At 47.5% G+C, this 14755-nt stretch overlaps 1 protein-coding gene across 4 annotated transcripts, besides 3 other annotated features; it reads left to right on the forward strand.

The window, feature by feature from the left end:
• On the forward strand, positions 4399–13925 carry FOXR1 (forkhead box R1). Of its 4 annotated transcripts, NM_181721.3 has the most exons (6): positions 4399–4630; positions 11420–11494; positions 11595–11842; positions 12080–12306; positions 13128–13366; positions 13846–13925. In NM_181721.3, exons 1-6 carry the CDS (start codon positions 4570–4572, stop codon positions 13872–13874), a joined length of 879 nt encoding a protein of 292 aa, NP_859072.1. In that variant the 5' UTR covers positions 4399–4569; the 3' UTR covers positions 13875–13925. The 4 variants fall into 4 exon arrangements, with proteins under 4 accessions (NP_859072.1, XP_016873064.1, XP_016873065.1 ...); XM_017017575.2 differs by lacking the exon at positions 13846–13925 and having other exon boundaries at positions 13128–13494; XM_017017576.2 differs by lacking the exon at positions 13846–13925 and having other exon boundaries at positions 13206–13494.
• Positions 4419–4919: an enhancer, noted in NCBI's record as "H3K27ac hESC enhancer chr11:118842491-118842991 (GRCh37/hg19 assembly coordinates)". NCBI's record gives its function as "activates a minimal SCP1, AML or CMV promoter by ChIP-STARR-seq in naive H9 embryonic stem cells {active_cell/tissue: H9 hESC(naive)}" and the evidence as "EXISTENCE:reporter gene assay evidence [ECO:0000049][PMID:30033119]".
• Positions 12779–13297: an enhancer, noted in NCBI's record as "H3K4me1 hESC enhancer chr11:118850851-118851369 (GRCh37/hg19 assembly coordinates)". NCBI's record gives its function as "activates a minimal SCP1, AML or CMV promoter by ChIP-STARR-seq in primed H9 embryonic stem cells {active_cell/tissue: H9 hESC(primed)}" and the evidence as "EXISTENCE:reporter gene assay evidence [ECO:0000049][PMID:30033119]".
• Positions 13298–13815: an enhancer, noted in NCBI's record as "H3K4me1 hESC enhancer chr11:118851370-118851887 (GRCh37/hg19 assembly coordinates)". NCBI's record gives its function as "activates a minimal SCP1, AML or CMV promoter by ChIP-STARR-seq in naive and primed H9 embryonic stem cells {active_cell/tissue: H9 hESC(naive and primed)}" and the evidence as "EXISTENCE:reporter gene assay evidence [ECO:0000049][PMID:30033119]".
• Positions 13926–14755: the final 830 nt, after the last annotated feature.

Here is a 14755-nt window from a genome sequence, read left to right on the forward strand (position 1 = left end):
GTCAAGAATCATAAATGAATGTTATTGAGTCCAAGTTTAATAAGGAACAGGATTTTAGATAATTTCAGAATATCTCCCCACAAATTACTTACTAATTACAAAAGGGAAGAAAGATAACTTTACAGTAGAGAAATCTGATAGATACCACTAAATGAAGTGATTGAAGTTAAACATCACGAATAACGAGACAAACTGACACCATCTGCTTCTTGATGCCATGCACTAAGAAAGAAACATCACTTCTTTGGCCCAAAAGCTCCCTCAGCTGGTAAACAACTTCAGCAAACTTTCAGCATACAAAATCAATTTACAAAAATCACTAGGCCGGGCGCGGTGGCTCACGCCTGTAATCCCAGCACTTTGGTAGGCCGAGGCAGGCAGATCACGAGGTCAGGAGATCAAGACCATCCTGGCTAACGCGGTGAAACCCCGTCTCTACTAAAAATACAAAAAATTAGCTGGGCGTGGTGGCGGGCGCCTGTGGTCCCAGCTACTCGGGAGGCTGAGGCAGGAGAATGGCGTGAACCCGGGAGGTGGAGCTTGCAGTGAGCCGAGATCGCACCACTGCACTCCAGCCTGGGCGACATAGCAAGATCCGTCTCAAAAAAAAATAAAATAAAATAAAATACAAAATAAAATAAAAATTGCCAATGAACATTATTGACTAGCATTCAAATAATCTAACATTGAGCTTTCCTGACAAAGACACCAAAAGCAATTGCAACAAAGGCAAAATTTGACAAATGGGATCTAATTCAATTTAAGAGCTTCTGCACAGCAAAATAAACTATCAACAGAATAAACAGTCAACCTAAAGAATGGGAGAAAATACACATCTGACACAGGTCTGATATCCAGAATCTACAAGGACCTTAAACAAATTCACAATGAAAAAAACAAGCCCATTAAAAAGTGGACAAAGGATGAAACACTTTTCTTTTCTTTCTTTCTTTTTTTTTCTTAGATGAGGGTCTCACTCTGTCACCCAGGCTGGAGTGCAGTGGTGTAATCTCAGCTTAGTGCAGCCTCCGCCTCCCAGGCTCAAGTAATCCTCCCACCTGAGCCTCCCGAGTAGCTGGGACAACAGGTACACGCCACCATGCCCAGCTAATTTTTGTAGCTTTTGCAGAGATGGGGTTTTGCCATGTTGCTCAGGTTGGTCTTGAATTCCTGAGCTCAAGTGATCCACCCGCCTGAGCCTCCCAAAGTTCTGGGATTACAGGCACGAGCCACTGTGACCAGCCAACAGATGCTTTTCAAAAGAAGATATACACGTACATGAGAAAATGCTCATCACCACCAATCATTAGAGAAATGCAGATCAAAACCACAATGAGATACCATCTCACACCAGTCAGAATGGCTTTTTTTTTTTTTTTTGAGATGGTCTCTCTCTGTTGCCCAGGCTAGAGTGCAGTGGCACGATCTTGGCTCACTGCAACCTATGCCTCCGGGGTTCAAGAGATTCTCCTGCCTCAGCCTCCTGATTAGCTGGGATTACAGACGCGCATCACCATGCCCAGCTAATTTTTGTACTTTTAGTAAAGACGGGGTTTCACCATGTTGGCCATGCTGGTCTCGAACTCCCGACCTCAGGTGATCCACCCGCCTCGGCCTCCCAAAGTGTTGGGATTACAGGCGTGAGCCACTGCGCCCAGCCAGAATGGCTATTATTCAAAGTCAGAAAATAACACATGCTGGCAAAGTTGTGGACAAAAGGAAAGCCTTATACACCGCTGGTGGGAATGTAAATTACTTCAGCCATTGTGGAATGCAGTTTGGTGATTACCATTCAACCCAGTAATCCCATTTTCGGGTGTATACCCAAAGGAATATAAATCATTCTACCATAAAGACATATGCATGGCCAGGCGCGGTGGCTCACGCCTGTAATCCCAGCACTTTGGAAGGCCAAGGCAGGAGGACCACTTGAGGTCAGGAGTTCGATACCAGCCTGGCCAACATGGTGAAACTTCGTCTCTACTAAAAATACAAAAATTAGCTGGGCATCATTGGGGCCGCCTGTAATCCCAGCTACTAGGGAGGTGGAGGCAAGAGAATCGCTTGAACCTGGGAGCTGAGGTCACGCCATTGTACTCCAGCCTGGGCAACAAGAGCAAAGGAAGGGAAGGGAAGGGGAGGGGAGGGGAAGGGAGGAGAGGGAAGAGAAGGGAGGAGGGAAGGGAGGAGGGAGGGAGGGAGGGAAGGAAGAAGGAAGGAAGGAAGGAAGGAAGGAAGGAAGGAAGGAAGGAAAGAAAGAAAGAAAGGAAGAAAAAGAAAGAAAGAAAGAGAGAAGGGGTACATATACAGCACGGTACATATACATCATGGAATACTATGCAGCCATAAAAAAGAATGAGATCATGTCTTCTGTGGGAACCGGGATGAAGCTGGAGGCCATTATCCTTAGCAAACTAATGCAAGAACAGAAAACCAAATGCCACATGTTCTCACTTGTAAGTGGAAGCTAAAAGATAAGAACTCATGAACTCAAAGAGGGGAACCACACAGACACTGGGGCCTACTTGAGGGTGGAGGATGGGAAGAGGGAGAGGAGCAGAAAAAAATAACTCTTGCGTACTAGGTTTAGTACCTAGGTGATGAAATAATCTGTACAACAAACCCCCGTGACATGAGTCATATGTAGCAAACCTGCACATGTACACTTGAACCTAAAAGTTAAAAAAAGAAGAAACATCACTTCTGTAGTATTCTTGCCAAAAATGCATACTCTAATTAAGAGGAAACATTAGCCAAATCCAAACTGAGGGCCATTCTACAAAACAAATGGCCAGTGCTCTTCAAAAATGTCAATGTTATGAAAGATTATAAAGACAGAGAGCCCGGGTGCGGTGGCTCATGCCTGTAATCACAGCACGTTGAGAGGCTGAGGCAGTTGGATCACTTGAGGTCAGGAGTTTGAGACCCAGCCTGGGCAACATGGCAAACCCTGACTCTACCAAAAATTAGCTGGGCATGGTGTCGCACAACTGTGGTCCTAGCTACCCGGGAGGCTGAGGTGGGAGGATTGCTGGAGTCTAGGAAGTTGAGGCTGCAGTGAGCCGATTGCACCACTACACTCCAGCCTGGGTGACAAAGTGAAACCCTGTCTCAAAAAAACAAAAAAGTAAAGATGGCTTGTCTGATGGTAGTGGGTTATCAGAACTTATTATTAATAACATTAGTGTCACTAAAGTTGGTATACAACCCCCTATTGCTAAATTTGGCTTTAAAAAAAAAGAGAAAGAAATTGTTCCAGATTAATGGAGAGTAAACAGACATGGATATTAAATGTATTGCATAGTGCTAAAAGGGATAACGGCCAGAAAAAAAAATTTACATAAATGACATTGTTGGGACAATTGGTAAAATCTGAATAAGAACTGCATATTAAATATAACATTGAATCAATCTTAAATTTTCTGATTTCTGATTTTCTGGATACATAAAACAATATCCTTGTTTTTAGGAAATACAGAAATATTTTTGGGTAAAGGGACACGATGTCTGCAAATTACTCTCAAATTGTTAAGCAAAACATAATGTATTTGTAGTATATATGGAAATAAAAATATAAATGTGATAAAATGATAATAATTGGTGTAATTGGTCAATCTGGGTGAAAAAGTATACAGGAATTTTTTGTAGCATTCTTGGGATTTTTCTGCAAATCTGAAATTATTAAAAACAAAATTTTTATTTTAATTTTATTGTCCCCCAGGCTGGAGTGCAGTGGCACCATCTCGGCTCACTGCAACCTCCACCTCCCGGGTTTAAGCGATTCTCCTGCCTCAGCCTCCCTAGTAGCTGGGATTACAGGCGTGAGCCACCACGCACTGCTAATTTTTTTGTATTTTTAGTAGAAACGGGGTCTCACCATCGGTCAGGCTGGTCTCAAACTTCTGACCTCAGGTGATCCGTCCACCTCGGCCTCCCAGAGTGTTGGGATTACATGCGTGAACCACCGCATGCGGCCAAAAGACAAAAAAAAATTTTTTTAATCAAATCACCATCCAATGTAATTCCATCTCCACCATCTACTACAGATGTGATCGTGGATAAACCATAAACCTTTCATAACTTCTAGAAAGTAACTACTAATACTATTATGGTAGAAAGGATCAATGTTAAAGCAAAACTATAAAAATAAATAAATACGATCACTTGACCATGGCGCCTTTTCAATGAAATAAGGGGCAAGGGGCTTGGGCAAACGAGGATGCGTAAGATGATCTGGGGTCCCTTCCGGATCCCCAGGTCCTCGACCCCCGGCATGTAAGGGTAGAGTCAAGGAGGGTCTTCTTAAGCGTTCCTCGGCGCGGTCCTGAAGAGATTAAAGGCGTCAAATGGACCGCTCCACACCTGAGCTGCCGCCAAGCTAACTCAATCCGAGCCGGCGCATTTGAGAAGGCGCCTGTGAGGGTCGCTCCTCAGCCGCCGCGCTCCCACTCCGCGTCCCCACTCCGCGCCGCCGCGCCTCTGCCAGCCCCGAAGGTGGACGTGAAGCTCCAACACCTCGACTTCTGGGCCCGCCTCCATGGCCAGGTCCCGGGACTGCTGGACTGGGACATGGGGAACGAGCTCTTTCTGGCCTTCACCACATCTCACCTCCCCTTAGCGGAGCAGAAACGTGAGTAGCGGGTGGGGTGAGGTGGGGGGCTGGGCGTGGCGGAGGGTGGCCTAGGGGCTCGCGGGACCCCGGGGCAGACGGCTCCCCAGCCTTCGCCCCCACCTCCCGGGGAGGCTTGGGGGGCCGAGCGCCCCGCGCCCCCCCCCCCCGACGGCTTAGCTCCGCCGCCCCCGCTCCACCCCCACTCGCGAACTCTACTCGGGAGTGGTTTGGGGGGTGGGGGGGTTCGCGCCTGACTCAATTGGAAGCTCCCGGAGGACAGCTGGTCTCACCTAAAAACGGAGGCTTTCCACTCTACGTCACCCGCCAGGCTCCCAGAACATTCCAAGGCCTCTTCTGGGTCTTCTCCTTGGCGCTGGTCGCCATTTGCTATACTGTATATTTCAGTTACTTTTCCGTCTCTTAAAAAAACAGGCCTCATCGTTTTATCCATGGCTGTATTCTCACCTCTTAACATATTGCCTGACACCTACAAGTGCTCCGTACTTGCCAAATGCTTAGTTGACCATCGCGATCTTTTAGGTTTTCTTTTTCTTCTTTGGACGTCAAGTGTGGAGAGTTGACATAATTACTCCCCACATTCATGGTACCTTTTCGCCTGCAAGACCCTTGGATTAACTCTTTTTTTTTTTTCCAAATTTTTTTTTTGAGACGGAGTCTTGCTCTGTCGCCCAGGCTGGAGTGCAGTGGCGCGATCTCGGCTCACTGCAACCTCCGCCTCCCGGGTTCAAACGATTCTCCCGCCCCAGCCTCCTGAGTAGCCTGGATTGCAGGGGTGCGCCACCACGCCCTGTTAATTTTTTTTATTTTTAGTAGAGGCAGAGTTTCACCATGTTGTCCATGTCGGCCTCCCAAAAGTGCTGGGATTACAGGCCTGAGCCACCGCCCCCGGCCTTAACTCTTCCTTTTGCCCCTTAAGTCTCCACCCCTCCTTCCATTACCTCTGCTGCTCCCATTACCAACCCTAATCCATTTAACGTCTGTTTTCTCCACTCATTGTTTTTGAGAGCTGTTGTTTTAGGTTGCTAAATTCAGACCTGATTCATTATTTCTGATTGTTGTTAGTATTCTATCGGCTGGGTGTCCCACCTTTTACATTTTAATTTTCTTTACCCTAGATTGCTTCCAACTCTTTGCCACCATAATTAATGCTAATGAACATTCTTTCTTGTTTCTTCATTCAAGAAATATGTATTGAGCACCTCCAACTGACCTGGCACTGTTTTAGACACTCATGATACACAGTGAATAGAACAGACAAGGAACCTTACATTCTACTGGGGGCAGACAGATAATCCACAGAAGTATAATAAATGGGTAGATCATATAGTATGCTATAAAGTGATAATCTGCAATGGGGAAAGAACAGGAGAAGGAGACTCAGGAATAGGGGAAGGGTGTGGTGGCAGCTACAGTTTGTTTTTTTTGTTTTTGTTGTTTTTTGAGATGGAGTCTGGCTCTGTTGCCCACGCTGCAGTGGTGCGATCTCCTCTGCCCCCCGGGTTCAAGTGATTCTCCTGCCTCAGCCTCCCGAGTAGCTGGGACTACAGGCACGCGCTACCATGCCCAGCTAATTTTTGTATTTTTAGTAAAGACGGGGATTCCCTGTGTTGGCCAGGCTAGTCTTCAATTCCTGACCATGATCCGCCGTCTCAGCCTCCCAAAGTGCTAGAATTACAGGTGTGAGCCACCGCACCCGGCCTTCTTTTTTTTTTTTTTGTCATGGAGTCTCACTCTGTCGCCCAGGCTGGAGTACAGTAGCGCAATCTCAGTTCACTGCACCCTCTGCCACCCAGGTTCAAGCGATTCTTGTGCTTCAGCCTCACCAGTAGCTGGGATTACAGGCATGCATCACCACACCCAGCTAATTTTTATATTTTTAGTAGAGACAGGGTTTCACCATGTTGGCCAGCCAGGCTGGTCTCAAACTCCTGGCCTCAAGTGATCCGCTTCCCTCAGCCTCCTAAAGTGCTGGGATTACAGGTGTGAGCCACCGCGCCAGGCCACAGCTACAGTTTTAAATAAGATTGTGGGGTTGAACTCAATTAGGAACATAATATTTGAGCAAATAGTTGATAGGAGGGGTGGAGTGAGCCCAGAGGATACTTGAAGGGAAAGTGGTAAGGTCAGTAAGGCTGGATGACAGTAAATAAAGAGCTCCAAAGGGTGTGGTTGAGAGCAGGAATGCCTGTCCTCTAAGGACTTTAGGGTTGACTTTGAGTCAGATGAGGATTGATTGTAAGGTTTTGTTTGAGATGGACTCTTGCTCTTGCTCAGGCTAGAGTGCAGTGGCACAATTACCTCCAGGCTCAAGCAATGCTCCCACCTCAGTCCCCAAAGTAGCTGCAACCACAGGCACAGGCCACCACACTGGCTAACTTTTTTACTATTTGTAGAGATGGGGATCTCCCTATGTTGCCCAGGCTGGTCTTGAACTCCTGGACTCGAGCAATCCTCCTACCTCCCAAATTGAGCAGAGGAGTGACATGCTCTCAGGGTCTGCTTCATGAGTGTGTGACCCGTGCAGTTGCCTAGGTGCCTGTGTTTGGTTTAATACACTGCTGTCACTGTCTTGAAATTTTTAATAATTTTTCAACGAGGAGCCTCATGTTTTCTTTACTGGACCCTACAAATTATGTGGCTAGTCCTGCATGATCTAGATTTGAAAAGATCACTCTGGCTGTTGTGTTGAGAGTAGACTGTGGATGTACAGAGTCTAGGAGGCTGCAGTAGTAATCCAGACAAGAGATGATGGTAGATTGGGCCAGGGTAGTAGCAGGGAGAACCAGCTGGCTATGCTGATGGATTGGATATGGCGTATAAGACAGACAATTGAGTATGAGCCTTCAAAGTGTTTTGACCTAGTGGAAGGATAGAGTTGCCTTGTACTGAGTGGGAGACAGGTTTAGGAAGGAAGATCAGGAATTCTGTTCTGGATATGCTGAGCTGGAGATCCTTAGACATCCAAGTAGAAGCATTGAGTCTGCAGTTGGATACATGAGCCTGGAGTTCTGGAGAGAAGTGGGGACTGCAGATGTAAATTTTGGGTCTTTTGGTATATGGGTGGAACTTAAGGAGTAAGAATAGAGGAGGAACAAGAATGAGCCCTGGGGGCAGTCCATTGTAAAGAGATTGGAGAGAAGAGAGATAACTAGCAAAAAAGACTATTGAGAATCAAAACTAGGGCGTCTGTGGTATCCTGGAAACCAAGTGGAAAAAGCCTTTCAAGGAGGGAGGGGTTGGATGAGTGGAATGTAAGTGATGATTGGACTTAACAAAGCAGAGGTCCCTGGTTAGTGGTTTTAGTAAGTGGTAGAACAAAAAACCTGACTGAAGGGGGTTTAAGAGTAGAAGGAGGGGAAGTAGAGGCAATGTGTTATGCCTCAACAGGAAATAAGATGGGATAATCTTTTTCTTTTTCTTTCTTCTTTTTTTTTTTTTTAGAGACAGGGTCTCTATCTGGTGCCCAGGCTGGACTGCAGTGGCACCAGCACAGCTCACTGCAGTCTTGAGCAGCCTTGAGCAGCCTTGAGCAGCCTTGAACTCCTCGGCTCAAGTGATCCTCCTGCCTCAGCTTTCCAAAGCAGGCTGAGATTACAAGCATGAGCCACTGCACCTGGTCCCTAAAATGGGAGAATTAACAGCATGTTTGCATGCTGATGAGAATGACCCAACAAAGACAAAAAATTAGTGACACAGGAAAGAGAGGGGAAGATTTGTGGAACAACATCCTTGAAAAAGCATGGGGGATCTGTGCCAAAGAGAGACACAGACATACAAAGGTGCTATCCTTGGGTCGCAATGAGATCACCAGTCCATTGATCCTATCACCTTTTCACTGTTTCAATCACTTGATATGTCCACCCTTATTTAACTAACTTGAATCCCATGGTCAGATATTACGCAGGTTCCCTGGATCATCTGTGGCTTTGGAGCACTTTGTTGGCCAAACCACAACCCTGACTAAATCCACCTCTGCCAAACGAGTGCGCCAAAACCATAATTCAGTGGACTGGTGACCTCAGTGGGATCATAGTTGGGGTTGAGGGAGTTAGCCAGAAAGACACGAGGTGGTGCGTTTTTATGTGGTGCATAAATGAGGTTACGGAGAGGTTGCAGTTGTTGGTTTAGGTTATGCCTGAGGGAGTGTCCACAGTAGAGTAGAAGTCAAACTCGCTGGAGAAGAGTTCAATAAATAGCAAAGATCATGTTTTTGTTTTTGAAGCAAGGTCTGGCTTTGTTGCCCAAGCTGGAGTGCAATAGCGTAAGCTTGGCTCACTGCAACCTCCCTTTTCCCGCTCAAGCCATCCTCCCACTTCAGCCTCCTGAGTAGCTGGGACTACAGGCTCACGCCACCACACTCGGCTAGATTATTATCTTTGTATTTTTTATAGAGATGGGGTTTCACCATGTTGCCCAGGCTGATTTCAAACTCCTGGGCCCAAGCAATCCGCCTGCCTAAGCCTCTTAAAGTGCTGGGATTACAGGCATGAGCCGCTGCACCTGGCCAGCAGCCAAGATTTAAGGCAGGAGTAGTGTTGGAGAGTGACAGCTAAACCAGGAGGTCAGTAGATGGTAGTAACAATGGAGATTGATTAGTATATAAGTTCCTGTATTAACTTGAATATATACATCCAGGAGCAGACAGTAAGGTCGAGTAAATTGTGGTCCTGCCTGATTGCTCTTAACAAGGGCTGCTCCAGTTGATACACAGAACTGCAGTAAAATAAGAGATTCTGTCTCTTTGCATGTTTCTCAACACTTGGTATTATCTTTATAATTCCAGTCAATTTGATTATCTCATTATCTTACAGTGTTTTTCGTATTATTAATAATGCTGATCATCTCGTTAGCCATTCAGTTATCCCCTCCTTGTGAATGCTGATTCATATCATTTGTCCATTTCTAAGTTTGTGTTGACCTTTTACATATTGATTTGTAGGAGCTCTCTATGTATCAGAGAACTGAGAAATTTGGATTGAAGTTTTGCTATTTTGTTTGTTTGTCTATTTGTTTTTTGCTTATGGTGATTTTTACTATGTTAGAACTTTTTTTTGAGACAGAGTCTTGCTGTGTCACCTAGGCTGGAGTGTAGTGGCACGATCTCAGCTCACTGCAACTTCTGCCTCCCAGGTTCAAGTGATTCTCCTGCCTCAGCCTCCCAAGTAGCTGGGACTACAGGTACACACCACCAAGCCCGGCTAATTTTTTGTACTTTTAGTAGAGATGGGGTTTCACCTTGTTGGCCAGGCTGGTCTCAAACTCCTGACCTCAAGTGATCCACCTGCCTCGGCCTCCCAAAGTGCTGGGATTACAGGTGTGGGCCACCGCACCTGGCCAAACTTTAATTTTTGTGCTATAATATGTGCATAAAACTTACAGATTCATTTTGAGGGTAACTGGCATCTTAATAGTATGTATTATAAGTCTTTGTTCAAGTATTTTAAGTTCTTTATTTAAGAGCTGAGATGGGAAGATTGCTTGAGTTGGGAGGTGGAGATTGCAGTGAGCCGGTGTCACACCACTGCACTCCAGCATGGGCAACCAAGCAAGACCCTGTCTCCAAAAAAACCCCAATTTTTCTATCTTTTGCTACTTTTTCCTTTTTTGAATACTATGTTGAATATTAGCAACATAATAGGCATCCTCTCTAATTACTGAGCTCTCCGATAAGTATATCATTTCTCAAACAAAAGCCTAGATTCATCTGTAATATAATGACACTCATAGGGACAGTGAGGGGGCAAAAATAGTTTTTGTCCTGAACAACCATTAATGGTGGTGCCACTTGCTAAGACAAAGAATACAGGAAGGCCAGGCATGGTAGCTCACGCCCGTAATCCCAACACTTTGGGAGCCCGAAGCAGGAGGATTGCTTGAACCCAGGGGTTCGAGACCAGCCCAGGCAACATAGACCCTCATCTATACAAAAAATACAAAAATTGGGCTGGGCGCGGTGGCTCAAGCCTGTAATCCCAGCACTTTGGGAGGGTGAGGCAGGCAGATCATGAGTCAGGAGTTCGACACCAGCCTGGCCAATATGGTGAAACCACGTCTCTACTAAAAAATACAAAAATTAGCCGGGTGTGGTGGCGTGCGCTTGTAGTCCCAGCTTCTTGGGAGGCTGAGGCAGGAGAATCACTTGAACCTGGGAGGCAGAGGTTGCAGTGAGCCAAGATCGCGCCACTACACTCCAGCCTGGGCGACAGAGCGAGACTCCATCTGAAAAAAAAAAAATACAAAAATTAGTGGGGTGCAGTGGCATGTACCTGTAGTTCCAGCTACCTGGGAGACTGAGGTGGGAGAATCTCTTGAGCACACCACTGCACTCCAGCCTGTGCAACAGAGCAAGACCCTGTCTCAAAAAAAATACAAGAATACAGGAGGAAGAGCAAGAAGATGGAATTCAGTTTTAGAAGTGCGTTTGAAGTGCCTGTGGGCTACCCAAGTAAAGACATCCAGTAGGTAGTTCTCCTTAAGGGCTAGCACAGAATGCTAGGCTAGAGGTGAAGATTTGAGAGCTCTACATTTTTTTATAGATGTTAACTGAAGCCACGGACATGCATGAGATCATTCAGGGATAGTATACGTAGAGTGAGAAGAAAAGAATGCAGAGGGGAATGAGAAGGTCAGAGAGGTAAAGGGAAAACCCGTAGAAGTAGAATGTGATGTTAACTCCCAAGGCAGGGCCCACAACCTTCTCCCAGAGAAGCCTTAAGGCCTAGGATCCTAGGGTCACAAAGGGATATTCTAGGATGTTTTGACTCTCTCTGTCTTTCTTTTTGCCAGTTGCCAGGTATAAACTCCGAATTGTTAAGCCACCAAAATTACCCCTAGAGAAAAAACCCAACCCTGATAAGGATGGTACGTATTGAGTTCTCTGACCTGTTTCTGTGGCCTGGGCTGGAGACCAGGGGCACCCAAAGCCAGTGGGCTGTGGCACACAATCTTTTGTTCTGCACAGGTCCAGATTATGAGCCCAACCTCTGGATGTGGGTAAATCCCAACATTGTGTATCCCCCTGGAAAGCTGGAGGTCTCAGGACGTAGGAAGAGGGAGGACCTGACAAGCACACTCCCCTCCTCTCAGCCACCCCAGAAGGAGGAAGATGCCAGCTGCTCAGAGGCCGCAGGGGTGGAATCACTGTCCCAGTCCTCCAGCAAGCGGTCTCCCCCTCGGAAGCGGTTTGCCTTTTCCCCCAGCACCTGGGAGGTATGCATTTTTGGGGATGGGAGTGGGACTTGGGCAGTAGGCGAGGGGCATGGGGAAGAGCCATTACAGTTCTGCTCTCTTAGCCATAGCAAAAGGTGAATGGGTTCAGAAATTACCTACATGCTTGGGTTGGGGAGAAGCCCAAATGGTGGCCTTAGACCACCCCCCCTTCCTGCCACTGCACCCTGGAGTAGAGGCTGAGGAGTCAGGACCAGTTCCTACTCTGTGCTCCTCTAGCTCACAGAAGAGGAGGAGGCTGAGGACCAGGAAGACAGCTCCTCTATGGCTCTCCCATCCCCTCACAAAAGGGCCCCCCTCCAGAGTCGGAGGCTTCGGCAAGCCAGCAGCCAGGCGGGGAGGCTCTGGTCCCGGCCCCCTCTCAATTACTTCCACCTAATTGCCCTGGCATTAAGAAACAGTTCCCCCTGTGGCCTCAACGTGCAACAGATCTACAGTTTCACTCGGTATGTGCCGGGGGCCCTGCGAGGAGGGGGAAGTGGGGGCCAGGGCCCCGGGCTGATGCCTTCCAATCCATCCCAGGCCCTGGGTTGCTGACCTGGTTTCCCTATCTGGGTCTGAGAGGACAAGTATGTTCCCAGTTCCCTTTTCCCAGGTGCATTTGTGCCCACATTGTGCCCACATTTTATGGCTTTAGTTTTTTTTTTCTTTTTAACAAGTTTTCAGTGTTCTTTGGGTATAGTTCTCCTTTAAAACATACATTCACTTGGGTCAGGTAACAGTTTCCCCACCATCCTCTGAAGATCAGCCAGTCTAAAGTCAGGTTTCCCCAACGGTTCCCACCTGCTTCTGCTAGGACTGGACTGCCTGGCACAGCTCCCTGCACCCCCAGGGGTGCAGAGAACCCAGTTGAGAAGGATTTTCCATTTAGCTCAGATAGTCCTGCTCACAGGAGGGTGAGGAAGGGAGTTTCTTGGGCCCTTTCCCAGTGTTAGGAGAAGTGCCTAATGTCTCAGGACAGGAATTTTCAAGTGGTGTCCGTCCTCAACCAAGATTCCTCTTACAGGAGCTGCTTGGCCTGATTCTGCTTTGTTCATGCTGTGGTCCAAGCCCTGGGCCCTCAGAGGGAGGGAGGGTTCAGGTGAGCCACGCACCACGTGGATGCTTTGCCACGTGCTCAGTTAGCAAAGAGCAACTCCAGGCCAACTTGCTACTATCCCCCTGGAGAGAAGGGCTAAAGCCCCTGGCCCCTGGGTAGAACATGCCCCAGAGAAGGGCATTCCCCAGACATAACATGCCTTTCCTTACCTCTCCTCCCTGTCCATAGAAAGCACTTCCCCTTTTTCCGGACGGCCCCGGAAGGCTGGAAGAATACTGTCCGTCACAATCTCTGTTTTCGAGACAGCTTTGAGAAAGTGCCTGTCAGCATGCAGGGCGGGGCCAGCACACGGCCTCGATCTTGCCTCTGGAAGTTGACCGAGGAGGGACACCGCCGCTTTGCGGAGGAGGCCCGCGCCTTGGCTTCCACTCGGCTAGAAAGTATCCAACAGTGCATGAGCCAGCCAGGTGTGAAGACTTGTTGTGCGTGGGCCCAAGGGGAAGAGACCTGAGGATCCTGACCCAAGGCCAAGTGTGGAAGCCTGGGTCACACCGTGGGGGTGGGGGAATGCATCTTCTATAGGAAACAGGGAGATTAACAGTGATCTGAGACCCTCAGGTGATGCCTGCCTGAGGTGAGACCTCCCCCACCAGTGTGGGGCGTGATGTGCCAGGAATCCATGGGCAAACAACTAAGGGGCAACTGGCCTTACCAAGACCAGCAGTCTAGGCAATAGTGAGCACACAACATGAGAAGCACAGTTAATAGAGGTTATGTACAAAGAGTACTTCTACTTTCCCTGGAGCAGTGCAGGGAGGCTTCAGAGAAGAGGCAGCATTTGAGCCTTGAGTGAAAGAAGCAGATGACCTGCTATGAGAGAGCATCCCAGGCCTAGGAAACAGCAATTGTGAAGTATAAACTCCTGAACTCTCTCCTTTTCTTACAGATGTGATGCCCTTCCTCTTTGATCTTTAACCCCAAGAAGCAACAGCCAGCTAATGCTTTATTAAAATTACCCTCACTAGCCTTCTGTGTGTGTCTGTGGAGGTGGGGTCTCTAAGGATGGGGTTAAGGGTGGAGGTGGAGATCAACTCCAAGGTTGGAGATGGAATGCCTTCAGCTTACAGATGCTCCTGAGGCAATGGGGCAGGTGCCTGCCGTGCAGCAAAGGGAGTCCGTAATTTTCTTTCCTCAAAGGAGGAAAATGCACAGCCTTCTAAAGCATCTTGGAGCAATTTCCATTTTTCTGGATTATGAAGATAATCTTGGCTGGATGCAGTGGCTCACACCTGTAATCCAGCACTTTGGGAGGCTGAGGCAGGAGGATCCCTTGAGCACAGGAGGTCAAGGCTGCAGTCGGCCATGATCACACCACTGCACTTTAGCCTGGGCAACAGCAAGACTCCATCTGTAAAAATTATTCTGGGAGATGCCCGTTTGTAGCAGCCAATTCTGTAAGCACCACACATTCATTCAATTGATACTCCTTAAGTGGCTACTGTGTACCAAGCTCAGGATAGAATACAGGTGCCAGGGAGAACTGCGCTGCATTCTCTTAGCTGCAATAGCGTTGAGGGCATTTGCTAAGGGAGCATAGAAAGGTGCTTTGGGGAGGCGCCATGTTTTGTTTTGTTTTGTTTTGTTTTTAAAGCTTACAGATGACTTTTTTGTGTGTGTGTGACAGTTTCACTCTTGCTGCCCAGGCTGGAATGCAATGGTGCAATCTCGGCCTACCGCAACCTTCACCTCCTGGGTTTAAGCGATTCTCCTGCCTCAGCCTCCCAAGTGGCTGGGATTACAGGCATGCACCACAAAGCCCAGCTAATTTTGTGTATTTTTTAGTAGAGACGGGGTTT

The sequence above is a fragment of the Homo sapiens genome, chromosome 11, assembly GCF_000001405.40.
Source record: "Homo sapiens chromosome 11, GRCh38.p14 Primary Assembly".
NCBI classification, from domain to species: domain Eukaryota; kingdom Metazoa; phylum Chordata; class Mammalia; order Primates; family Hominidae; genus Homo; species Homo sapiens.